General features: G+C 46.9%; 1 protein-coding gene and 1 long non-coding RNA gene across 2 annotated transcripts in view, besides 2 other annotated features; one reads left to right on the forward strand and one right to left on the reverse strand.

Moving 5' to 3' along the window:
• Window positions 1-224: 224 nt before the first annotated feature.
• COL15A1-AS1 (COL15A1 antisense RNA 1) lies at window positions 225-3992 on the reverse strand. The gene has a single exon (NR_198999.1). It is a non-coding gene; the product is annotated as a COL15A1 antisense RNA 1 (long non-coding RNA).
• Window positions 3247-27348, forward strand: part of COL15A1 (collagen type XV alpha 1 chain) — a 126881-nt gene continuing 102779 nt past the window's right edge. The window contains exons 1-2 of the mRNA NM_001855.5: window positions 3247-3412; window positions 3502-3590. Of these exons, the coding sequence (NP_001846.3) occupies window positions 3402-3412; window positions 3502-3590 (100 nt within the window). The 5' untranslated portion in view covers window positions 3247-3401. The remainder of the gene's footprint in view (window positions 3413-3501; window positions 3591-27348) is intronic.
• Window positions 21095-21595: an enhancer, noted in NCBI's record as "H3K4me1 hESC enhancer chr9:101724037-101724537 (GRCh37/hg19 assembly coordinates)". NCBI's record gives its function as "activates a minimal SCP1, AML or CMV promoter by ChIP-STARR-seq in naive H9 embryonic stem cells {active_cell/tissue: H9 hESC(naive)}" and the evidence as "EXISTENCE:reporter gene assay evidence [ECO:0000049][PMID:30033119]".
• Window positions 22096-22680: an enhancer, noted in NCBI's record as "OCT4-NANOG hESC enhancer chr9:101725038-101725622 (GRCh37/hg19 assembly coordinates)". NCBI's record gives its function as "activates a minimal SCP1, AML or CMV promoter by ChIP-STARR-seq in primed H9 embryonic stem cells {active_cell/tissue: H9 hESC(primed)}" and the evidence as "EXISTENCE:reporter gene assay evidence [ECO:0000049][PMID:30033119]".

The raw sequence follows: 27348 nt of genomic DNA on the forward strand, positions 1-27348 counted from the left end.
ATTTGTAGATGAGAAGTGTGCTTTGGGAAACTTCATTTTTAGATTCCAGTGAATTGGGTATCATCAGTTACAGAGAACCAACAAAATATGAAATGTGCACATAGGACTTCCCTGCAAGAGTAGAAAGGAATCTGTTGCCTTATGCATATGTATCTTGGACTGATAAATTGGATCACAATCAAGTCTTCACCCTTCATGTTATATATGTAACTGAGGAGGCCAGGTTTGTTTCATAATGGCACCTTCATTTTTATTTTTTTCAATGTACACACTTTATTTGTATATTAAACAAGTAGAAATATGTTTTTCCCCATCTTTCTTTAAACATGTTCTTCTCCCCATATATCTTCTGTTTACCCATTTTTAACAGGAACATGAGCATTCAACCTATTCCATTTTTTCTTATATGCAAAGGCAGAGTGCAACTGTGATAGGGGCAATTGATTCTTAGCTTTGGTTTTGGGGACAATATGGGGTGGTGGGAACTACGGCAAACTGGACAGTACTGCCTTAGCTGAAGGCAGCAGCCCCTATTCAATGCCAATCAATTGTTGGCACAGAGAATGCAGGCCTTATGTCGCCAGGTTTTCCAAAATTTCAAAAAGAATCCAGAAGTCTCAATTTTACTGTGCAATTCTCTAATTATCAAATATTGCTAGCCAATTTAATTTGGAGGTTGACACCCAGCAGACCAGATAAAACATATCTATGGGCAAAATTGAAGGCTGGGCATGGTGGCTTATGCCTTTAATCCCAGCACTTTAGAAGGCTGAGATGGGTGGATCAACTTGAGGTCAGGAGTTTGAGACCAGCCTGGCCAACATGGTGAAACCCCGTCTCTACTAAAAATACAAAAATTAGCCGAGTGTGGTGATGGGCGCCTATAGTCCCAGCTACTTGGAAGGCTGAAGAGGAGAATCACTTGAACCCGGGAGGCGGAAGTTGCAGTGAGCCACCATTGCACTCCATCCTGGGTGACAGAGCGGCACTCCATCCTGGGTGACAGAGCGACACTCCATCTCAAACAAAAACAAAAACCAAAATCAAAAATGAAACAAAATTGAGCCTATGGCTGCCAGTTCACAATCTCTGGTTTTAAAACTGTCAAACAGAACCCTAGATCTACTATGTAGCCATAACTGATGTGGTTTTTCTAAGCAGTATAGAAATATAGTTCTAAGAAAGTCAATTATATTCCTAGTTAATGTGGTACTTTACAAACAATAGAGAAATATAGAATTATGAAAGCAAATTCCCTATGGTTAGTGAATCAAAATAAAATAAGGTTAGGCCCATCACAGAGTGGCTGCAAGTGGGAGAGAATTTACATTCACAGGGAATGTGAACAGATTAGGAAAGAGGCCTCAAGTGGACAATTTTGTCGGGATGCAGTTCGCCTTATGTGTTAGCTCCACATGAGGCCAACCTGGTTCTCGAGCTGCTTTGGCTACTGGAGCCTCAATCCCTTAAGAGGTTGATCTAGGGTCCCCCCTCTGTCTTGCCAGTTGTCCCCCTCCACAGGCCGCAGCCCCGATGAGAATATCCACAACCTCTAATAATAGAAGCCAAAATCCAATGGACAGAGAGCACTGTGGTGTACCAGTAGGTGGTCCCATCAAGGGACTCACAGCCACCATTCAATTCAAGGTAGTTGTGTCCATTATCCAGGTGGAGAAATAAAAAATCAGACCAAGGGCAAGATTTGCCCAACTTCACCCTGCAGCCAGGGCCAGCATTGGACTGGAACCCAGACTCCTGATCTCCAGGCCAACCATCCCTCCTCTGAGCCCTCACCGCCCAGGCTGGCATGAACCCTTTCATATCCGAGTGCTCTGTGTCTCCACTGCGATTTTGCTCTTGAGGGTGGAGAGTGAGTCTAATCTTCTTGCTTACTGGCAGGCAGCATGGCTGAGTGGGGAGGAGCATGGGTGTTGCATCTGCCATTCATTAGCCTTGGAATGTTTTGAACCTCAGCTTTCTTATCTATGAAATGGGGATCATGACAGTATCACCTTTCCATGGCTGTTGTGGGTATTAAATGAGATAACACAGCTAAAGCATTTAGCAGAGGGCTTGGGACATAATCCACACCAAGTAAGCATTAGTTGCTTATATCCATTCCCATGCCATCTCCTCTGCAAGGCTAACTCACTTGGCAAGAGGTGACCCATCCTCTAGAGTGGAACTGAATCAAACACAGGAACTGACCACAGAGCCACGGCCCACTGTGGCTACTTGGTGCTTCAGGAAGAGAGGTTTCTAGTGTTTACCTGGCTTCAGAGCTGTCCAGGTCTCAGCCAACTTCAGCGGTGCCTCTTCTCACTCCAAGATCTCACACTATGTGCCGGGTGGTAATCTTAATAAAAAGCGACCATTGAGGGTTTACCCAGTGCCCTGCGATAAGCTCTGCACAGATGGGTTAGTCTGCCCTGAACCGCCTCACTCCCACTGAGGGCTTTCGGAGGCAGAGCCTGGTTCATGACCCCCACATCTCATCACAGGGCCTGGTGTGATGCCTCACCCAAGACTGTGCTCCTTCATTCATCCAGCGTTTATTGGCATCTCCTACTACCTGAGCTGTTTTAGGCAGGGAACAAAGCACAGATAAGCCCTCCTGGAGCTTACATTCTGATGAAGGGGGCAGGCAAGGTATACATAGGGAGGAAAGCCCTGGAATCCAGTACATTAAAAACTTTTATTAGGATTATCTCTGCTGCATTTAGTTGTATGTATCCCTTATGGCCCCCAGGCAGGTCCACTCCTGGGCATTCAAGTCGGTCCATGTGTCAGGCGTGCAGGGTGGGTCACAGCATCTAGGAGCTCAGTGCAGCTTGGGACTTTGGGACATACGCTCCACCTCTCTGAGCCTCAGTCTCCTTGTCCATCATATAAGGAAATCACTGATTCCAGCCTTCCTGGGCTGTGGAGAGGATTCCCTCAGCGGCTGTGAAAGAGTGCTTTCTTGCGGGTCAGCCCCGACAGGACAGACTTAAGGGCGGGAGGGAGCCCATCCCGCTTGCCCCAACGAACGCGGGCGCGGGGCTTTCCTCGCAGGTTACATAAGGCAGCCGCGGGTGGAGGCAGCAGAGGCGAGCGCACGTCCGTCGAGGGGGAAAGGGGCGTGGGGAGGCGGCCGGGGCGGCCGGTATCCCCCGGGCGTGAGTGCGCAGCGCGCGGGGGAGCGCAGGGCGCGGCGGAGTCGGGTTTCAGAGCGCGGGTGACTCGGGGCGCGGGCCGGGAGCCGGGATTCTGCCCGCCGCCGCCGCTGCCGAGCGCCGCCTTTGTTCCCTGCAGGAAGGGCGAGCGCGGCGGCCAGCGCTCAGCGACCCTTCGTCCTCCGCTAAGCTCCAACGCTCTGCTCGACTAGCCGCGCGCCTTCCGGGGCTCCGCAGACCCGCGAGATGGCACCAAGGTAAGACCCGCTTCTCTGCTTCCTCGCGTCCCGGGCCCCTCCAATACTCTTGCCCGCCTCACCTTTTCTCCCTCGGGCACATCTTGCAGGAGGAACAACGGGCAGTGCTGGTGTCTGCTGATGCTGCTCTCGGTCTCCACGCCCCTCCCTGCTGTCACCCAGACCCGCGGTGCGACAGGTAAGCAACCCGGTCGGAGGGTGGCACCGGCTGCCTCCGCGCCCGTGGGGGAAGTCGGTTTTGGCGGCGGACGCGGCTGCGATGCGTGCCTCATTCCTGGACATAAAAGGGAGTCTTGCCACTCAGTGCGCACTGGCGGTCCCGCGGGCGGCTACCTCCTGGCAGTGCAGGGGTTATAGCTGTGAATGGGATCCCTGGGCAGCTGGGGCGGTTGGAGCGTTGTCTGGGCACCCGAGATGTCTGAGCTGGGTGCGGAGCCTCCAATCTTAGGCAGAGAGGGACTTCAGAAACAGCGCCAGCGCCAGCGCCAACAGCCTCAGCGCACCCAGCGCCAGCAGCTTAGGTTGTGCGTGCTGGCTGGCTTCTGGTAAGGGCAGGTCTGGTGCCTCTCCGCACACAGGTGCGAAGCATGAACACCGGGAGGGACATCTGGGGCTTTTGCTGCTCAAGAAATAACGGAACTGAATTGCTCGGTTGCTTAACCCAGCTCTGAGTTACCTAAGCGGTCACGTCTATCATGGGCAGTGGCTCCACCGGTGGTGGAAAGAGCTGTGGCCTGGAAGCCAGAGATCTGATCCCTTCCGTTCCCCGGGCCTCAGTTTCTCCAGCAGAACTCAGGCGGTTGGCTGAATAGTAAGATATAAGTTAAAGTAGACCTAAGTTAAAATGGGCCTCGGTTAAGGTCAGACTGCCTGGGTTTGAACTGTGGCTGGCTGAGTGATCTTGGGCAATGGATTTCATCGCTCTGTGCCTCAGTTTCCCCATCTGAAAAAGGCGATTAATTAGACCATTTTACCTTCCTAGAAATGTTGTGAATATTAGAGAAATTAGAAATAATGTGCTTCCCATGATTCCAGTATATACTAGGCACAAAATAAGTGATAGAAATTACTGCTTGATTCTTGCAGTAACTATGTGTTGGAAAGCAATGCAAGTATTTTTATTTTTATTTTAGATTCAGGGAGTGGTCATGTGTGGTTTTTTACAAGGGTATATTGCACGGTGCTGAGGTTTGGGCTTCTATTAATCCCATCGCAATGCAGGTATTTTTATAACATTGAGGTTGAGAGAAGCTTAGAAAGTGGCCAGTCCAAAAGCCAGGACTTGAATCCAGGTCTGTAGGCTCTTGCCCTTGCTCAGCTCTTTCTCCATGCAGTTTTGCAGAAGAGCCATGCTTTCTATAGCTTCTGACCCCCTCCCCTTTGAATTTGGGGGATTAGTACACATCTTCAATTGAATAAGGGAACAGAAAGTCTAGGAAACAACCTCTAGTCGGCCCAAAGGAAACGGGATTGAGAAGGTGGCCTTGGTTAACTCTTTGTTTGCCTGAAGAAGCCCAAGACAGCCCATTGTCTCCTGGGCAACAAGACCCAAATCCGATGATAGCTTTTCCTGCCAGAGTGTCCAGCCTGGCATTTATTGCAGATCAAAGGGCAGCTGGAGTATAGTTTTAGCTTCTCAGCCCCATGGCTCATGTCAGAAAGTTGCAATTTTGCATATGATATAGGGCCCTGCCAACTCAGTGGCAGAGGCCAACTTTGGGTTCCATGGTCTTTTGTGAACTTTGCTGCAACTTCCAGTTTCCCAAAAGGAAGATGGATCTGGGGATAGGAACTTTGGTGTTTCTTTCTCCTCCTGTGTGTGTCTCTGGGATCCCTCAGTGTCAGGGCTGTTGTTTCTAACACAAAGGAAGCCCTATTCCCATTTATAATGTAAAAAGGGAGGGCCAGCAAACCTTCAGGAGCTGAGAACGGTCTAAGGAGGGCCATTTGCAACTGATGGGTTTTCAGTGCCCCTTTGGGGATGTGAAACGATTCCTAAAAATGTAAACTATCCTCCTGCAAACTGCATTTGTAATGCAATTTAATATCCCTAATACTTATAAAACACTTTGTATATCCAGGTGGAGGTGTGAACATGTTCATATTTCATTCATCCAATCCTTACAACCACTCCAGGAGGTGAGGACTGAGAACAGTTACTATCTCTGTTTTTCAGATGAAGAAACAGAGGTCCAAAGTCACAAGACTTCTAAGTGGCTGGGGTGGGATTTGAACCAGACAGTCTGACTCCAGAGTCCTTGCTCTTAACCATCCTAGTGTGTAGTTAGAAGAGCTTCACGGATGGAGAAGGCTTTAGGGGTTCCATGGTCTCCAATGAGCCCCACAATCTGAATGTCACAATTGTAACATGAGTCCATTGCATGGCATTGTGCAGTCTTCAAAGCACAATGTCACCTTCACCACGTCCCTGGAATCACCACCCAGCAGTGCTGAGAAGTAAATTGGGCTCTGTCTTACAGAGGGGATGTGACTTCCTCAAGGCCGCATGACTGTAACTGGGTAGATCCATAATAGCCCTCTCACGTCTGTGAACTTCTGGGCTGGTGCTGTTCCTTCCATAGGACCACTGCCCAACTGGCTATAAAAAACAATTGCCAAGACTTCATAGCACTATGAACCAGCAGTGTTTTAAGTGCCCTGCCATGAATGAGCTCAGTCAATCATCACAACAACCCCATGTCTTATCCCCTTTTACAGATGAGGAAACTGAGGCACAGTCTTTTGCCCAAGGGCATGTAGCCTTCAGTAATATAAGCACAATTTGAGCCCAGAGGGTCTGACTCCAGAATCTGTACTTGTAACCACTATGCTGTATGCTTAAGTGGGGTGGCTTCTGAAAGCATGTTTGTAAGTGGGCTGTTATGAGCGGAAATACATGTTCCCAACGATTTGGCAGTTTCTTAAAATGTTAAATATATACTTACCCTACAATCTAGAACTTCCACTCCTAAGTATCTACTTAAGGGAAAGGAAAGCATATGGCCACCCAAAAACTCATATGTATGTTCATAGCAGCATTATTTATAATGACCAAAACTGGAAATAAAGTTAAATTCACCATTAGCTGGTGAATAGATAAACAAATGAGGTGTATCCATTTAATGGAATACTACTCAGCAATAAAAAGGAATGAAGTATTGATCAATGCTACAACAACATGGATAAACCTTAATACCATTAAGCTAAGTAAAAGAAGCCAGACATTAAAAAGCAATACATTGTAAGAGTCCCTATATATGAGATTTCTGTAAAGGCAGAACCACAGAGACAGAAAACAGAAGCAGAGATTGACTGCAAAGGGGCATGAGGAAACTTTTTGGGGAGTGTTCTAAAACTGGATTGTGGTGGTAGTTGTGCAACTCTATAAATTTACTAAAATAATCTAACTATACATTTAAAATGGGTGAATTTTATGGAATGTAAGCTATGCCTCAATAAAGCTGCTTCTTAAATAAAAGAATGTATTTTCCCAGAGCATCTAGGCCCCAGATCTGGTGGGGCTTCAAGGTGGGGTTCCTAGCCAGCCTGGTACAGAGCTGGCACACAGCTCACAACTTAAAAGCTGCTGGCCTCTTAGGGCATTGATTCTCTCAGAAAATGGGTCCAGAGTTCTGCCTGCACCTCCAGGTCTCTGGATCGACTCTCCCTACTATCCCTGAATGCCATTGTGGGCCCAGGACAGGGCTCCTCAGGTAGGGGTAGAACACATGCATATGGGTTTTTTGCAGGTAGTTGATCTGTTAAAAAGTGGGTCTTTGTAAACTTCCTGATATCCTGCACGCCCTAAAACAGCACAAGTTCAGGTATTGGAAAACCTGGGTTCCACTCACTGACTTCCTCCATGAACTTAGATGAGTTGCTTTTCCCACTCTGAGCCTGTTTTCCCATCTACGAAGTGGAGAGGCAAGAGTCACTCATCTCTGTAGTCCTAATTTAAAATGTTGGGAAACAAAACAAAATAATATTTTTCTAGTTTGAGGTTTGATTATTTCACATAGTTTAGTTCAACAAACCCATTCTGTGCTGGCCCTCATGCTGGCTGGGTACAGAAAGGATTTGGGCACAGAGCTGCCCCAAAGGGGTCATAGTTCACAGGAAGAAAGAAAGGGCCACAGACAACTGTAATGCCATTTTTCCTGAAGTCTTCTCATCTACCATGCAGAATGTCCTGTGTGCAGCCAATCCCATCCTTCTACACCATCCTGTTTAAAGACACACTTGTCGGCCGGGCGCGGTGGCTCACACCTGTAATCCCAGCACTTTGGGAGGCTGGGGCGGGCAGATCATTAGGTCAGGAGATTGAGACCATCCTAGCTAACACGGTGAAACCCTGTCTCTACTAAAAATACAAAAAATTAGCCAGGCATGGTGGCGGGCGCCTGTAGTCCCAGCTACTTGGGAGGCTGAGGCAGGAGAATAGCTTGAACCTGGGAGGCGGAGGTTGCAGTGAGCCAAGATCGCGCCACTGCACTCCAGCCTGGCAACAGAGGGAGACTCTGTCTCAAAAAAAAAAAAAAAAAAAAAGAGACACTTGTCAGTGGGTGTCACCCACATGGCCTCTTGTACCTCCAATGGTCAGGGTTGAGCTGGAGGACAACACCAATCCTTCCTTTTCCTGGTAAAGTTTCAGGGTCATTGGAATACCCAATATTTTAGAAGATAAGGGGGCTATTGTCCAGGTAGGGATGGTGGTGTCACAAGTAATTTGCTCTTGCTAATAAAGTGTTGATGATTGCAAATTATTTGCTTATGTTTAAACTGTTTTATTGTGAAATACAACATCCATTCAGAAAAGTGCATGCTAAAGGTACAGTACAATCTTGTATCACAGAGCAAACATGTAATCCAGATGAAGATATAGGATAATCCCCAGAAGGTCTCCTAAACCCCTTTGCTGTGGTTTTATTTTCCCTTCTTTCTCTCTGAGGTAACCATTACCTTGACATTAACAGTCATCCCTTTCTTGCTTTTTAAAAATAGCTTTACTATCTAAGTGTGTATCCCAAAATTCTGAAGTTCTGTTTTACTCGATTTTGAACTTTTTAAATGCAGAATCTATTCTTTCATGTCTGATTCTTTCAATGAATAATAAGTTTTTGAGATTTATTCATGCTGCTGTATGTGGCTGTAGTTCATTGCCATTGCTGTATAATAGTCCATTGCATTAGCATAGCATATGTTACTTATCCATTCTTCTCCAACATTTGGGTTGTTTCCATTTTGGGCTAATGTAATAGTGTCGCTCTGAACATTCTTGTACATTTCTCTCAGTGCACATGTGCATGAATTTCTGTTGGTTCTATACCTACGAGTGGAGTGCTGAATCAGAGTGTGCATATCCCCCAACTGAGTAGACAATGCCAGCATGTCTTCTAAATGGTTGTACAGATCCACACAGCTACCAAGAAATGAGGGCCTCCATTTCTTCACATCCTCACCAGCACTTGATCTTGTCACTGAGCTTAACTTCAGCATTTCTAATGGGTGCATATTTGATCTTACTGTAGCCTTAATTTCCATTTTCCTAATTATTAATTACCTTTTCATATGTTTATTGACCATTTAGATATCCAGACTTACTTTTTATTGAGGTGAAATTTACATTATATAACAGTAACCATTTTGAAGTGCACAATTCAGTGTCATTTAGTTCCTTCACAATATTGTGCAATCAACATCTCTATCAAGTTCCAAAACATTTTCATCACCCCAAAAGAAATATCTATGCCCATTAATCAATTGCTCCCCATTCCCTCATTTTCTCAGCTTCAGGCAGTCACTAAACTACTTTCTGCCTCTATGGACTTGCCTATTCTAGATATTTCATGAAAATGGAATCATACAGTGTATGACCTATTGTGTCTGACTTCTTCCATTTAACATAAAGTTTTCATGGTTCACTCATGTTGTATCATGTGTCAGTACTTCATGCCTTTTTATGACTGAGTAATATTCCAGTGTATGTATATACCAAATTTTGTTTTTCCATTCATTTGTTGATGGACATTTGGGTTATTTCTACCTTTTGTTTTTTGTGAATAGTGCTGCTCTGAACATTTGCATACAAGTATTCGGATGCTTGACGGCCTGTTTCTACTTCTTTGCACCTAGGAGCAGAATTTCTGGTCATATGATAATTCTGTGTTTCAAGTATGACGAACCCCCAAACTGTTTTCCACAGTGGCTGCACCATGTTTACATCCCCACCAGCAATGTATGAGGGCTTTAATTATGCACATCATCGCCAATGCTTGTTTTCAGTTTTTAAAATTATAGCCATTTTAGTGGATATAAAATGGCATCTCATTGTGGTTTTTATTTGCAATTCTTTCTTTCTTTCTTTTTTCTTTCTCCTTCCTTCCCTCCTTCCTTCCCTCCCTCCCTTCCCTCCTTCCTTCCCTCCCTCCCTTCCTTCCTTCCTTCCCTTCCCTTCCTTCCTTCCCTTCCCTTCCCTTCCCCTTCCTTCCTTCCTTCCTTCCTTCCTTCCTTCCTTCCTTCCTCCCTCCCTCCCTCTCTCTCTTCCTTTCTTTCTTTCTTTTGACAGAGTCTCACTCTGTCACCCAGGCTGGAGTTGGTGGCCGGCCCATCTTGGCTCACTGCAACCTCCACCTCCCAGGTTCAAGCAATTCTCCTGCCTTAGCCTCCCGAGTAGCTGAGACTACAGGCATGCCCAGCTCATTTCTGTATTTTTAGTAGAGATACAGTTTCACCATATTGGTCATGTTGGTCTCGAACTCCTGACCTCATGATCCACCCACCTCGGCCTCCCAAAGTGCTGGGATTACAGGCGTGAGCCACTGTGCCTGGCCTATTTGCAATTTTCTAATGACAAATGACGTTGCGCATTTTTTCAAGTGCTTCTTGGCCACCATCTTCTCTGGAGAAATCCTGATTTAATGGGAAGCATATGAATCAGAGCAGCGCAGAACTTCCCTCTAACCACCCCACTCTTGCTCCCTGGCAGTCTGATTTGCTTTTCTGAGTGAGAGAGATGTGGGTAGGAGTCACACCTGAAGTTTTGCCTCATTGACCTGCAGTCTCCATCTCCCAAAGGACAATTGTCTAGAGCTGGCCACTTTGTCCAGAGCTGGACTTTAGCAATTTGTCATTATTATAAATAGTGCTGCTGGGACATCTTCAGACAAATGGCCTTTTTCTTTTGGATTATTTCCTTTGGCAATATTTCCCCCCAAAGAACTCACCCATCAAAGAACAGAACTGGTTGGACAGTTCTTACTATGTATTTAGATGGATTTTTCTTATTTAATCATGATGCTTCCTAGTATAATTGCCCTCACTGGGTTCTCACTGTACCTGAGATGGAGTCATGCTCCTGGCCCCAGAGGACCCTGCCTTCCTCCACTAACACTAAGTCCCTATGGACTTCAGCTCACATCAAATCACTGGCAGGCTTCTGAATGGGACATGCAACGTCCCACACCTGTGCTTTTGCATAGGCTAGTGCCATTTTTATTCTATTATTATTTTTTGGGACAGGGTCTTCTCTGTTGCCCAGGCTGTAGTGCAGTGGTACAATCTTAGCTCATTGAAGCCTCAAAGTCCTGGGCTCAAGGGATCCTCCTTCCTCAGCCTCCTGAGTAGCTGGATTACATACCCTCATACCCAGCTAATTTAAAAATTTTTTGTAGGCATAGAGTTTTGCTGTGTTGCCCAGGCTGGTCTAAAACTCCTGGCTTCAAGCAATTCACCCTTCTTGACCTCCCAAAGTGCTGGGATTACAGGCGTGAGCCACTGCACCTGGCTACCAGTACCATTTTAAAAATGCCTTTCCCCCATAGTACCTGGGGACCCCCAAATCATCCTTCTAAGATTCTACTCTGGGAAGCTGTCTCTCCTCTCCCAGGCATAATGAGCATCTCTTTGTCTCAGGGCTTCTCAGACTGTACAGTGACCACTGATTAGTTGCCTGCATCCCTAACTGCTACATAGGAAGTTCTATGAGGCAGGGATGGGCCTGTCCAACTCTGAATCCTGGAACAGGGATTTCAGGTGCAGGACTGGCATGAAGTGGGTACTCAGCATACTTTTTCAATGAATCAAAGAAGGAATGAAGGGGTTAGTCTAGCCTGTGGTCTAATGCACCAACTTACTATGTTCTCTGTGGTGTGTAAGTCATTCCAATTCTTCCATGGCTTTGTCAGCTGTAGGGTGACCTTGACTGAGTACTCAGGGAATATTATAGGGCTGTCGTTTTCTTCAATAGTGTAATAACTAGTTAGGCTGGAATTCACTCTAATGTTAATTTGCTCTTTATCTTTCTTATTATATTAATTGGATAAAAATTTATTTCCCAGCTTCTCTCTACTCATCTTATTCCTGATTGCCTCAGTTTGTCAAAAGTTGTGCATTTATCTTTTTTCTTCTAGCTAAATATGTAAGTTGATTTTCCAGTTTTCTTTTGATATCTACAGCTTGATCACTTAAAATGAACCATAGATTAGGATATAATCTCTCTTTTTTTTAAGTCTCTCTATGTTGCCCAGGCTGGTCTTGAACTCCTGGGCTCAAGCAATCCTCCCAACTTGGCCTCCCAAAGTGCTGGGATTACAGGCATGAGCCACCACACTTGGCCAGATTAGGGTATAATCTAAAGCCAGTTCTTTTCCAAAGTGGTCCCCAGGTTTCCCCCAAGTACTAATTAAAGTGTGAGCTATTGCCTCATCACTGTACTGCCCATCATTGTTGTGTGATATCTTATCATATAATATTTTTTCTTTTAATGATATACTTTTATTTCTGGTATCTCTGTATTACTGATCACTTTCTTGTGCTAATATGTGTATGTCGTTTTAAATCCATACAATTTTGATGCTTGTTACTTTGTGCTATGTTTTACAGTCTGGTAAGAGAAGTTACCCCTGCCTACCTCCTTCATTAAGCCACGAATTCTTTAGTATAGGTTGGCTTATTCCATAATTTCTGCATGGTATGATTAGATAATGGGAGTGTACCAGTGGTAGTGGGTAGGTGAGGGTTGTAAAAAGGAGGCAATCTTACAATAAGACTCAATTTAAGGCATTAATGTCTAGTGTGGAGAATGGATAAGCAAATAAGACCTCAAAGTCAGAGCATCAGATTGTGGGGTATGACCTATTGCTGTCAACAAAGTGCCCAGGGGAGCTAAGGTGGTATCAGAGGTGTTGGGAGGAGCCAGGTTTGCTGACTGATTACCTTCTTCTGCTCTATCCAAACTACAGAGAGGAAAAGTCTAGGGTTAGAGCAGATCCAGGTCAACATCTAATGAGAGAGACAGGGGTCCCTGGTCACCTAATGAATGCAGCCCACTCTTTATCCCCATTATAACCAAACTCAACCCAACCCAACCCTATCCAACCCAACTCAACCTAATCCAATTCAACCCACCTAATCCAATACAACCCCATCAAACTCAACCCAATCCAACCCAACCCAACCTAATCCAATCCAACCAAACCCATCCCAACCCAACCAAATCCAATCCACTCCAGTTCATATTTGTTGCATACCATGGGTGGTTTAAAGGACAGAACAGGGCAAAAAACTATTCTGAGGGCCCTGGTATCTCTCCCAAGTGACCAGGGCCCCTGACCTTAGATGCCAGGGAACCCCTTTCTGGGTTTGGAGAGCTTGGCTGGAGTCTGGCTTGCAGGCAACACCCTGGCCTTAGGCCTCTCTAGGAGTTACTCCTCCCATCACTGAGGGACTCAAATGGGGCCCAGCTTAAAACACTCCTCCCATCTAGGCAGTCTTTTGTGACTAGCTTCCTCCCAAAGGGAATTTCTGTTGAAGTCTTCAAAATGGTCTGTCTGTTCTGTATTATGGCTTCTCTTACAGATGTCTGTCTTCCTCCTATTATTCCTGGCTTCCTGCTGTCCCAGGCACTCTCTGGAGTAGGTGGCAGGATGGCTGAAGAGCCGCATTAGACTCAGTGCCCATCCTGGAGGGACTCATAGTTCAGTAGTAGAGACAGTGCGCAGAAGCTGGCTTGCATGCTAAGGAGCTTGTCCTGAGTTTCCTAACACAGTGTAAGCAAGCATCTGCACTGCCAAAGTAGGGATGTCCATTTCCACCAGGAGATGGGAGAGGCAGAGGGATGTGAGAAGTGTTTGTAAGAGATTCATTTTTTTCAATAAAATTTTAAAAATTGGTAATAAAAATAATACATAGTTATTATAAAAACTAGGGCCAAAAAGAGGAGTTTAAAAAGATCACATATTATCTTGTGACTCAAAGATAAACCCTGCTAGCATTTGATGGACTGTGTTTCAAGTTTATTTTCCACCCCTAAGTATGCACATAGATCATAATATGAACAGAACATTCTGTACATTGCATTTAGTGTTTAGTTGATGGCTTTTTTCCCCCTTAACAATCATCTAGACACCTTCTCTGGAACATTAAATACTCGTCTCTAATATTTTTTGTGTTTGTAATAGTATTTCATTGTTTGGTTGTCTTGTAATTAAACTTTTAGGCTGTTTCTCATTGCTCACTATTATGAACACTATTGTGACGATCGTAGTCTTGTAGCTTTGTATTTGACGACTTCTGCAATTATTTCCTAGCACAACACAATTTCCTAAAACAAATAGTTGGGTCTAGTGCATGCCCATTTTTAAGGCTTTTGTTGCATTGTTCAGACAGGCAATAATAATTTATACTCCCTGCAACAGCATATGAGAACGCCAAGCCCACCCTGCCTTGTCTATTACTGCTGTGTCTCTAACCCAAAAGGAGCAAATGACAACAGGTAAAGGAACAGTGCCACCATCCTTCTCCAAATGGTGGCCTTACTCAAAAGAGCTGAGGGCTCCTCCCACCCTCCCTCTCCACTCTTCTCCTTCATTCATCCATTTTGCACATGTCTGTGGAAGGGCTAGAAGAGGGTTTTTCAGGAAATTAGAATGTGAGAGCTCATGTCATGAGGACCTTGATGGTCATCAGGCCTCCAGTACCTTGGAATCATTTTGGGGATTCCAAGGGGGCCTGGTGCCCAGTCCTCCAGCTCTTCAGGGATTCTTCATACATCTGAGATAAGGTCCAGACACCAGCAGGTTTGAAAATCTCCTGGGTGCAGTCTAAGATGCAGCCAAGGCTGAGAATAACCAATGCAGTCCAACTGCTTCCTTTCAAAGGTGGTGATGCTGAGTCCCAGAGAGGGACTCCTTGTCTTCCTTATCTGTAAATTAGGGCAATTCCTACTCTAAGGATTAGTGATCGGGCCTGTCACTGGTGATCAGTTCAATGCCTCCTTACTTCCCTGCTCCCACATCACTGTGGGTTCCTTGAGGGCAGGAAGCCGTTTTTATTTATCCATGTTTCCCCAGCATCTGACATGGCACTAAATGGACACAATGAGCATTTGAATAAGTTAATGAATGAATCATTCAAAGCCTGGGACTGTGGAGATCTTAGTGAAAACCCAGCATTATGAACCTTTGACCAGCAAAGTCTATGTGCGCCTCCAGCCACACTGAAAGACCACCCTGCAGCCATCCACTGTGCAGGATGATGGGGCTAGAGCAGGGTGAGAGTAGGCACTGCCTATAGTATGTATATCAAGAATAGAATGTTTCATGAAAGAAAAGTTAAGCTGTGCTTTTTCTGGCATAGGAAAGTTACAACCATTTCATCTCACAGAACATAGAGTAGAGATTCTAGCTGATGACAAGCTGAACCCAAGTTCTTGCAAGTTCAACAGCATTACACACAGAACCTCTGAAATAGGCCCAGCCAACTGCTTCTCCTCTCCAACTACAATCTTAGTGGCTAGCTAGTTCTGACTTGATTGTCTAGCTCAGAGAAGGAAAGTGACTAGCTCATGGTCACAGTTCAAGTTGGCAGGAGAGCCAGGTCTAGAACCAGGTATCCTGACTCCTAGGCCAGTGCTCTGGTGCTTCACATGAACCTAAGAAAATACCAAGGGTATGGCTGGGGTATGGTGGCTCATGCCTATAATCCCAGCACTTTGGGAGGCCAAGGCAGATGGATCACCTGAGGTCAGGAGTTTGTGACCAGCCGGGCCAACATGACAAAATCTTGCCTTTACTAAAAATACAAAAATTAGCTGGGCGTGGTGGTGCACGCCTGTGGTCCCAGCTACTTGGGAGGCTAAGGCAGGAGAATCTCTTGAGCCCAAGAGGCAGAGGTGGCAGTGAGCCGAGATCATGCCACTACATTCCAGCCTGGGTGGCAGAGAAAGTCCCCATCTCAAAAACAAAAACAAACAAAGAAACAAAAAACAACAACAACCAAAAAACAGTATGATCTGTGCTAATAATTATATAGTGCTTTTTATGTGCCAGGTGCTGTTTTAAGTTTTAATATATAGGATATACATATATGTTATATATACACACATGCATATCCACATACACACATCTGTGTGTGTATGTATATGTTTTATATAATATACATTTTATATGTACATTTACATATATGTATGTGTATCTGTGTGTGTATTTCATATGTGAAATTCTCACCACAGCCTTGTGAAATGAAGAAATTCAATTACAACTTGACATCAGCACACAGGTCTGTCTCCCAGCCTCCATCCTCTCCACCCTAGAATCCATCCTCCACACTGCAGCCACAGTAATCTTCTAGCTTCTTGCCACTCAATCTTCTTGCTTCTAGCATCTTGCTACGTGTGGTCCATGGACCAGCAGCATCAGCATAACCTGGGAACTTGGCAGAAATGCAGAATCTCTGGCTTCACCCCCAGAACTCATAAATCAGAATCACACCATCTAGGGGACTGAGGATAGCATTTTAACAAGATCCTCGGTGATTCGTGTGCACTTTTAACATTTGAGCAACACTCTAAACCAGCTCTGATTGTGTTGCTCCCTGCTTAAAACCCTTTGCCATCTTCCCATGATCACCATCTGTGGTAGGCAGGGTCATGGCCCTCTGAAGGACCCACAGCCTAACCCCCAGGACGTGTCACTCCATTAGGTTCTATAGCAAAGGGAGTTAGGCTGCAGATGGAATCAAGGCTGATAATCAGCTGACCTCAAATGAGGGAGATTGTCTCCGATTATCTGGTTGGGCCCAATATCATCACAAGCGTCCTCAAAAGTGGAAAAGGGAGGCAGAGGAAATCAGAGTGGTGTGATGTGAGAGGACTTGAGCATCCTTGTTTGCTAGCTTTGAAAATAGACGAAGGGGCCACAAGCCAAGGAATGCAGGCAGCCTCTGGAAGCTGCAAAAGGCAAGGAAACTGATTTTCCCTTAAAGCTTCCAGAAAGAACCATGGTCTGCTGATACCTTAATTTTTATCTCAGTAAGACCTGTGTTGGACTTCTAACCTCCAGAACTGTAAGATAAAAAAACTTGTGTTGATGTAAGCCACTAAGTTTGTGGTAGTTTGTTATAGCAGCATTGGAAGATAAATACAGCCTTCTACTCCTTAGTGTGGCATTTGAGGCCCTCTGAAGTTCCACCAAGTGCTGTCCTGGCCTCATCTCCCAGAATATCCCTTCCCACACCCTAATCTCAAACCAACAGAGTCTCCAGAGTAGCTAGAGTATGGGAAGGGACACTCTGAAAAAACCAGACTAGGGTTATTTCTCTCTCTCTCTCTCTCTTTGTGTGTTTGTGTGAGACAGGTTCTCACTCTGTTGCCCAGGCTGGGGTGCAGTGGTGCAATCACAGCTCACTGCAGCCTTGACCTCCCTGGGCTTAAGTGGTCCTCCAGCTCAGCCTCTCAAGTAGCTGGGACTGCAGGTGTGCGCCACCATGCCTGAATAATTTTTCTATCTTCTTTTTTTTTCTTTTTTTAAGAAATGGGGTTTCACTGTGTTGCCCAGACTGGTCTCAAACTCCTGGTACAGGCACCATCACACCTGGCTGGGGTTGTTCTCTATGCCACCAGCACCTAGCCCTGTGCCTGGCCCCTGGCCAGTACTCAGGCAATGCCTTTTGAAGTAATAACCCAGTGGAACCCTGTTACGTTCAGGTCGCCACCAGCCACGGAGGAGCCCATGACATGCCGGAGGCAACTATGGCAACAGTGCGGGACATGGTGGAGACTCTCCCAGAGCCTCAGCCTTAACATTCCTTTGCTCTTCTTCTGCTGTGGGCAAATCACTGTACCTCTCTGGGCCTCAGTTTCCCCATCTGGGAAATGAAGGGGTTGGAAAGACAATTCTAAAAGCATCGTTAGCATGAACATGCTAGGATATCTGAGTTCAGTTTGGCCGCACGTTCTGGCAGTTGGGGGCAGTGATTCGGCTCAGCTCTGCTCAGCCCTGTTCATCTCACTGCTGAGCACATCCTGCACTGTCATCCCATTCACAAAGTGGGATACAAAACTGCCCAGCAACTGTGTGTATTTGGTACAAAACAGACTACAGCTGCTCATTCCCCCTGTCTAGTTAAAATGCCAAATTACTCACTCTCCCACAGAAAGAAAAAAAGGAGGGGTGGAAGAAACCATTTCTCACTGCAGAGTTTTTCCATGTGACATATTTTCTAATTTTATTTCAGGTCTAACTGTCTGCAGTAGATGGCTCCATTTCAGGGTCTTCCCCTCCCCTTTTAGTATATGAGCTTTCATTAAGGAATGAAGTGGCTTTATTTGTTTAATATTTGCAAGTGTGGGCTGATATCAAATTGCAACTGAATGTCTTCATTTTCTCGGCGGAGGGAAGTTCTCTAAGATGCCCCGCACTGGTTTAGTGGCTCGGATTCCTTGGTTCTAGGCCTGGTCACAGGAGCTTTGCCAAGTCCCCTCCATTCTCTGGACTTAGAAACTCAAAGTGAGTATTCCGCAAAGTGAGGAAAAGGCTGGCTCATCACGGAGATAGGGTGGCTGGATTGGAAGCCATGGCTGATGCGCCCCATTTCTAAGAGTGGTTCCATTTGAGACTGTGTTGGAATGGTATGCAGCTCAGTTTATGTCTGTGCTCAGCTCCTGTCATCTCTGCACTGTTGCTTTAGTTCATGGAATGGCTGAGAAATTTTTCATACCTGGAAAGAGTATTGTAGCTTTGTTTTAAAGAAATTAATTCTGGCCAGGCATGGTGGCTCACATCTGTAATCTCAGCACTTCAGGAAGCCGAGGTGGGAGGATCTCTTGAAGCCAGGAGTTCGAGACCAGCCTAGGCAACATAGTGAGACCCTGTCTCTACAAAAAAAAAAAAAAAAAAAACTAAAAACTAAAATGATCTGGGTGTGGTGGCATGAACCTGTAGTCCCAGCTACTCAGGAGGCTGAGGCAGGAGGATCGATCACTTGAGCCCAGGAGACCACCATGCCTGGCCAGAATTAGTTTCTTTAAAACAAAGCTACAGTACTCTTTCCAAGTTATGAAAAATTTCTCAGCCATTCCATGAACTAAAGCAACAGTGCAGAGATGACAGGAGCTGAGCACAGACATAAACTGAGCTGCATACCATTCCAACACAGTCTCAAATGGAACCACTCTTAGAAATGAGGCTGCAGTGAGCTGTGATTGTGCCAGTGTACTTCAGCCTGGGCAACAGAGTGAGATCTTGCCATAAAAAAAAAAAAATTAATTCTGCCCCTGCAATGTCTGTTGCATGCAACCTCTCCCTTCTATCTTCTTGCCCTGCCTGGCTTCAGGCCTGTGTTACCTCTTTCTGCTGGGTTGCTACAGCAGCTCCCTGGCCAGCAGGATCTCCCATCTCTCTGTCCTCTAGCATGGCTTCTCACTGTGAGTCAGAGTAGCTTGTCTAAAACACAGGTCCCATCATGTCACATCCCCTGTCAAAACGCTTCCATGTTTTCTGTGACGCACAATGCATTCCACACTCCTTGGGTTGCAGTTCAAGGCCTCTTCTCCTCTCACATCCCTCCCCGTACCCTGGCTCTACCACCCTGAACTGCTTGCTGGTCTCTGAATTGACCATGCATGTTCCCTTCTCCAAGCCTTTGCTTGCGCTGTTCCTCAGCCTGCCCTATGGAAATCCTCTGCATTTTCACCTTGATAGACTTGTTGCTTAAACTGTGGTCCCTGGACCAGCAGCATGGGCATCATCCAGGAGCTCATTAGAAACAGAGTCCCAAGGCCGGGCACAGGGGCTCACACCTGTAATCCCAGCACTTTGGGAGGCCAAGGTAGGGTGATTGCTTGAGGCCAGGAGTTTGAGACCAGCCTGGGCACCATAGTGAGACAACATCTCTATAAAAAATTAGCATGATGTGGTGACATGTGCCTGTACTCCCAGCTACTTGGGAGCCTGAGGTGGGAGGATCGCTTGAGCCCAAGAGGTTAAGGCTGCAGTGAGCCGAGGTCACACCACTGAACGAACCCCAGCCTGGGTGACAAAGGGAGACTCTGTTTCAAAAATAAAAAAGAAAAAAAAGAAAAGAAATACAGGATCCCAAATCCTGCCTCAGACCCACAACATCAGATCTAGACCCACAGCATCAGATCTAGACCCACGGCATCAGATCTGTACCTTAACCAGGCCCCCAGGTGATGTGTGTGGCACTCAAGTGTAAGCTGCAGTGCTGTGTAGCTTGGAGGGCAAGTGCTGAATCTGGGCAGTCAGATAGAGCTGGCCTGGTTCCAGGCTCTGCATGTATCAGTTGGTGACCTTGGACAATGTACTAATCCTTTTGAAACCTCAGTTTCCTCATCTGTAGAGTGAGGAAACTATAAACGAAATAACGCCCCAAGCTCTTAGCACAGTGCCTGGCACATGGAAAGCCCTTAATGAAGGGGAGTGGCCAGTAACAAGGTTCCATCTCAGTGCTAGCTGATGTTGTGCCTAAGCTGTCCTGTGTCCTCTCTCAGCATTGCTTGTATTGGGTTTATTCCATCAGAGGTGAGAACTCATTTGTAAGTCCATCTTGCTGAGGATGGGAAGGGCCAGGACCAAGTCATTTGTGTTTGGAGTTTAGAATCATTGACCTTCCAGTGGAGGGAGATAAACAATCATAATCTGATGTGGGGAAAGTGAAACATAGCTAAACAAGGACTTTGCAAAGTGGGTGGGATGGAATTCATTCCAGAGTTTCTGCCCTTGGTAGAAATGGCCATTCTGCCTGTTGTAACCTGGGGGCTTTCTCATTCATCCATTTGTTTACCCACTTTTATGTAATATGTATTGACTGTTCTCTGAATACAAGCAATGTGTGATATCCTGGGCAGAAAATGAAAAGCAAGATAGGCTTGCTGCTTGCCCTCTAGGATCCTATAGTCTAATGGGGGACATTGATGCTAAATAAAGGATTGTACAAAAAGACTCTTTATGTTTATAAATGGTAGAAAATGTTAGAAAGTGCAATGAGAGCTATGAAAGCACATGCCAGGACACTCTCATCTGTACCAGGGTGTCAGGAGAGTCTCCCCAAGGAATGGGATTTAAGATGAGATCTGAGGGGTGAACAGATTTAGCCAGGAAAGGAGGTGGGGATGATGGGCTGGAAGAGGAGTGGAATGTTCCAGATACAGAGAAACAGAATGAGGAGAGGATGGAAGAGACAGCCTGAATGTGGCTCGAACACGTTGAGGGAGGAAGGCAGGGTGAAGTTTCTGGGATGAAAGCAGGGCCTTCGCCCAGGAGCCGTTTTTCCTAGCCTGGCCCTGGGGGAGCATCTTGGCTTCCCACCCTCGGTCAGTCCTGCAGCACTACCGCCCAGGGCCACCCGGGGTAAAGGCCTTTGGTCTAGGTAGAGTGCAGTCAAGCCCTGGATTCTACTACCTGCCTTGCTCCTGCCTCTGCTTATCAGACAGTGAATTGCTTCAGGGCGGGGGCAAAGGGTCTCTACCTTTACATAGCGTAAGAGAAGAGAATTTAAGAGACTTGCAGTAAAATGTCAGGAAGGCAGAGTCAGAAGAAAGCCCGGAGCCAGCACAAAGAGCCCCTGGTCCACCTTGGCCTCTCAGGGCCTCCCAGGCCACGACAGCTGCCTGGCAAAGAGGTGGTGGAGGCAAGTGAGGAAGGTTTCTAACAATTGCTGTCTGCGGTTAGACTCCAGTCAGTCCTGGCTTTGGAAAGCTTCCTCCCGTCTATACAACGAAGAGGTCGGACCAGCGCTAAGGTCATCCAGGTCTGACATGATCTCTTTTTATTTTTTATCTCTCTCTGGATCTCTGTATTGAGAATGTGCATCCGTAAACATAGGAAGAATTCTCTTGCCAGGGAACAGAAATGCGGTTTGGGGAGGAATAACTCGGGTGGGAGGTTTTTAGATGCTTTCACTCAGGGGAGCAATTCCTTTAGACATGGTTGTACCCGTGAGACGTGGGGGATGCATTACGCCTCTCCTGTCCAAGCCATTCCTTTGGAGACCTGCTTCTCAAATGGGTGTGCTCACAGTCCTTGGCTGTGTGACACTAGCATGCGAAGAGCCACATTGTTTATTTCCTGGAGGATTTTACTCAGTGGTTGGTAATTTGTGGTGAGGAGACCAGTAACAACTGGGGAATAATTTGGAACATTTTTATATTATTAAAACAAACACACACACATGTTTGGAGTGGAATTCAAAACTTAAGTGCTTTTAAAGATAAAGCAAGAGAATTAAATTTTCAAGGTCCTGGGGGGCTCTTTGGCTAGACTCAGGCCCTCAGGTTTATCTGATGACAGAGTGCTTTAGCAGAGATGATGTTATATACAGATTTGAGGTCCCCAACTTGTGGGGGATATTTAGAATTATTGCAAAGGATACATGGACATTTTCTGTCTACAGATACCTAACACCTGTGTGTTGAGGGGGCTATTAATGCTTTGATATTGACAAGATGGAGATGGTCACTGCCCTCCAAAGCTTTGGATTAGAACTGTCAGCTCCAAGAGGGAAGGAACTTGTCTATCACTGCTGGATCTCCGGCACTTAGAATAGTGCCTGCTGTACAGCAGGTGCTCAATAAATGCTTCTGGAATGAATAGAAATGTGTGTGTTGATGGCCATGAGAAGCTTTCATTTCTCCATCCACGTTTACCTTTCCAGGAATAGCGTGTGGAGCTGCTTTAGCATGGAGATCTTGGGTGGAATGTGAAGAATGCTGTCATGCATATGCATGTGGGAGGCTGGTCAGCCTTGCTCAGGTTCAAGATTTCCAAGAATCACTCTTTGGAGGCAGCCTTCCACCCAGCGTGGTCCATGCTGCATAGCGTAGGCTCCTTGTGTGAGAAGGCACAGTTCACCATTTATGCACCTTAGGTAGCTAGGACCCACTGGGCCTCACTTCTCACAATGCCTGCAAGTCCCCCCAAACACCTTACTCCCATCAGAACCCACTGGGAACCTGAGGCCTCAGAAAATGCTGGACTTTGGGGATCAACTATTCCAGCTCCCCCAAATTGCAGACGGGAAGATGGAGGTTCAAAGAGAGCAAGGAACTTCCTGGGAGTCACACACATTTTAGCGATGTGACTCCCAACAGGTTCCTTGTTCTAGAACTGGGTCTGGAACTACGTCTTCTGATATCCAGGTGGGTGGCATCACTCCATTTTGAAATTCCCCAGTGCTGCTTGATCACATCCGTACCATTCTCAGGGATGTGCTTGACAGTAGTGTGTGGTTAGAGCTGAGCTTTGGAAACATCACATGAACTTTAAATCCTGGTTCAACACTTTTTTTAATTATGTGACTTGGGCACATTGCTCAGAAAGAGTGTGGGTTTCCTCATCTGGATGGTGGTGGTGGGTGATGGGTATAGGAGTCCTACCTCCTGAGGCTATATGAGCTACTCAGCAGGTAATGCCCAGGAGTGCTCAGAGCCAGGGATGGGGAACCCAGTGCTGAGCCATCCATCCCACAAAGTTAAGGTCATGCCCATCCCGTTCACCCCAAATCTCCATGACTTGCAGTGCCAGGCATGTGACGGTGTGTGCTTGATAGTCATTTGTGAATGAACAAATGAATGAATGAACAAAATGGACAGAATATGCTTAGCACCTGACATTTGCCCTGTGCCACCACCCTGAGAGCTAAGTATTGCCACCTCTATTTCCAGATAAGGAAGCTAAGGCTCAGAGAAGTTAAAGAACATGCCCAAGATCACCTGGCTAGTACGTGGCTGAGCAGGGACTTACATACAAGTTTCTCTGGCATCAAATTCCACGTCCTTTGCCCTGCACCATTCTGGGGGAGGCTGGTCCTCCTGGGGTTCCCCCGAGGTCACCTCCCCTCCCACCCCCCCATTCTTGGTCTCTAGTTAGGAGGTGTCCACTGGGTTTTCATCTTGGAAGGTCTGATTCCCTCTCCCATTATTCTGGTGGTCCACAGGCTGTTCCTCCAGCAAACATTTGGAGACTGTCAAGCTGTACTTTCATCTAAATTAAACAAGAGTCAGCCTGTTTCAAAATATGACTTCAGGGTCACCATCTGTTCTGGCTGTTCCCTTAAACTCAAATCCCATTTTGGAGCCAAATGGGGCTCCAGCATCCCACAGAGAGTGTGTCTCTTTGCACAACTGAGCAGGAAAGTCTGTAGAAAGACACAGTGTGTTTGACAACAACCCTCGGACAAATTTCTCTGGTTATTTCTTTTCCCCTACTCAGCAGCATCAACGTCATTGCATGTGAACCACAGGTCCCCACCACAGATTCAAATGCATTCCTTTCTACATTGGGTACCTAGTGTGTACCAAGCTCTGTATGAGGCCCTTTCCCATGCCATCTTCCGGGTCATGGGAGAGAGTGGCCTGGATCTTACAGTGGGGGGAATACAACATGCCAAAGCTGCTCGAGCTGGTCACACCATCAGTCTGGGCATCAGTTTTCTCATCTTGGGGACATTGGACTGGGTATTTTCTGAGGTTCTTCCCAGCTCTGAAGGTTACCCTGATTCTTCATCAGCGCCTTGGCCAATGTAGGCGAGATTTCACGGTGCCCACTGAAGCTATGAGCTCGTTCTGACTGCGCTGCTTGTCTGCCCTGGCTGAATTCACACAAGCTCATCTGTTGGGACGCCCCGGGCTGTTCCCAGGGCAGCTTGATTTTGCCCAGGGCATAACATGCCAAGTGCTGAGAGGCTGCAAGAAAGTATGTCTCCTGCTGTTGCCAAACTATCGCCTTCGCACCACATTCCAGATCACCCAATTCCACCCTCTCCTTGGCAAGAAAAAGAAAGGGGACCCAACTGCCTAGGGCAGCAGCTTGGGGTGAAATGAGGATTCCTCCTAAAATGGTCAGCTAGAACCTTCCTCAGGAATCTGCCAAGGCACCCGGTTGCCTGTTGCATAAATTTTAGTCTCCTTGGCTGGACATTTGAGGCTCTCTGACTCCAGTCTCCTAAAGGAAAAAGAATTGAGAGTAGCAAGAGCTGGGAAGTCCCAACCACTGCAGTTAAGGCCTGCAGTCTTAAGCTCCTTCAGCTTCAGTCATCTCATCTGAAAATGGCATAGCCACAGTCCCCACCCCATCAGACTGCCTTGAGGTTAGGTGAGCTAATGCACCTAAGTGCTGAGCTCAGGGTTGGCCTGTTGTGAGATTAACATTTCTAAGTCTGAATCTCTCTGGATCCATAATTCTCTCCTTTTTGCTCCAATGCTGGAGGCTATCTCGGGGTCCCATTTCTCCCATCCTTGGAATCACTCACTTGGCCCTTGTTTTCCTAATTGTGTGGGTTTGCTCATGCTCTGCTCACTCCACTGTGTTCACCTGTGTGAAGCATCTCAGGCCTATCTCCACTGGCCCTTCCTTCAGGTCCCCTTCCCAGTGTCCCCCAGTGGGCGGGGAGTGCTCCCTCTTTAAGCCCCTACAGGACTTTCCTGTCCTTTGCTTATGGCTCCAAGCTCAGGTCACCTGTATCTGGGCCCCGTGTTGGTGTCTGGTCCTTTTTTTCCAGGGGACCCAATTCCTTGTCCTCTTGATCCCCCAGAGCCCAGCCCAGGTCACCTGTATCTGGGCCCCATGTTGGTGTCTGGTCCTTTTTTTCCAGGGGACCCAATTCCTTGTCCTCTTGTTCCCCCAGAGCCCAGCCCAGCGCCAAGTCCAGACAGGGTTGGAAAGTGGATGCTGGTTGTGGACAAGGCCAGACTGGGCCCAGGATAGAATGAATGATAGTAAGGTCCCCTCCTGACTCTTCTTCTGGGAGGGAAGAGAGAGGACCATTCTCCCCTAGGGAGATGTAAATTATGGCTGCCTTGAGGCCTGTGGATAACAACTCAAGAGATTTCATTGACCCCATAGTATCAATCATGCCAAAGAAATCAAGAAACACCCCAGGCCATGTTTCACTTAGAGAAAGACTTAGAAAGCTCAGAATTAAAATACTCTTTCAAGCTCCTCCTATCATTCAGTGCTCCTCCCAACCCAATGCTGCACCCCCATGGAGGAGATGGGGGGCCTTCTCCACACAGGAGGACCAGGGATCTTACCGTTCTGCTCCTGGGATCTCCAGGGCTGGCCTGTCCCATCCTACCTTGCCCCATGGCCCCAGCTCATGCTCTGACACCCGGATAGGCCATGAGCAGCCTCCCTGAGGCCTCTAGCCAAACCTCAAGGACCCTAACAGTATATAACAGAGAAGGGGAAGCCCGGTTGTTCACATTCTCCACCCAGACCATGTTGCAGAGGGGAGGAAGATGGAGGCAGCTGGAAATGAGTCTGAAGTCTGAGAAGCCAGTGTGTTTAAGAGAGTCACTCTCATCTCAGTGAAGGAGAGCCGAGGGCAGCCATTTTGCAGAAGGCTGCTCATTCAAAGCCTCCTGCTTAGGGAGAGGGGATTGCAGCCCCCAGCAAAGCTACAATCGACTCTGTGTGGTTATTAATATTATATTATATCTCAACAGTGGGGATCAGGTGAGAGCTAAGCTATTAAGTGCATATTAAGCTAAATGGTGCTGGTGGGATTACTTGTGACAACTACTGGCATTCATTAGAATTCTTTATGATTGATGATAAATATGATGTGTTAAGACAGGCATACAATCACGCTAGTCTAGAGTCCATTAAGCTCATTCATTCATGCACATGTGTATTATTTGTACATTCATTCGTTCATTCATTCATCAAATGCTCAATTTATGCCTACTTCAGGCAAGGTCTCACATTAGGGAGATGAGGGTGACACTGGGAGATATGGAGATGAAACAGAACATGCTACCTACCTCCTGAAGGGCTCACAGGCTGCTGAGGGACACAGGTGAGGAACAGATAACAGAGTAGTGAGAAATTGGAGCTTTCTGTGAAACTGGCCCTGGGGTGGAATGGGGGTTCCTAGGGAGATAGTATGACTCGTAGACCTGGCCACCGCAGTCCCCTCCTGGAAGGTGTGTGCCGACCCTTCTCTGTACTGACTTTCCCTGGGGAGCCACAGCTCTGTTGGAGACCACAAGTTTCCCCCTGCCTGCAGAACCCTCTCCTGACAGGCCTTGACCCAGGGGGCTGGAGTGCCCAAGCCTCTCTACATCCACTTACCTCCAGGGGCTGACTTGGACAGGCTTCCTGCTGGCCAGCCTTCTTCCCCCACAGCTGGGGCCACTTGGCTGCCTCACCCCAGGCCCTAGGACATTCCTGTTTTCCATCAGTGGGATCTAGTGATTCAGGGGACTTAGCATCCCAACAGCCTGGCTGGGAGGTGGCTTGAATGCTGTGCTATGATCACAGAAAAGCGCTGTCTCTACCATCTAGTACTGGGGCCCTGCCTGGGTTGGTCCATGGTGGAAGCAGTTACAATCCTGCCCCTGCACCCTGTGCCTGGGTCTCTGGCCCCTGCACCAGACGTCTGTGCTGCTGGCTGCCTGCTCTTGTCTCCAGGTCCATGACTGCCCATGACTGGCCTCCATTCAGGTAGTAGGATGCCATCTTTGCCTCAACAGCACAGCAGTTCTCAAACTAGGGTGTGCATCAGAGACACTAGGGGGCTGGTTAAAACACAGGGTGCTGGGCCTCAGCCCAGGGTTTCTGATTTTGTAGGTCTGGAGTAGGTCTCGAGAATCTGCATCTCTAATAAGTCCCCAGATACTGCTGCTGCTGGTCCAGAAACCA

Source organism: Homo sapiens, chromosome 9, assembly GCF_000001405.40.
Source record: "Homo sapiens chromosome 9, GRCh38.p14 Primary Assembly".
Classification (NCBI taxonomy): domain Eukaryota; kingdom Metazoa; phylum Chordata; class Mammalia; order Primates; family Hominidae; genus Homo; species Homo sapiens.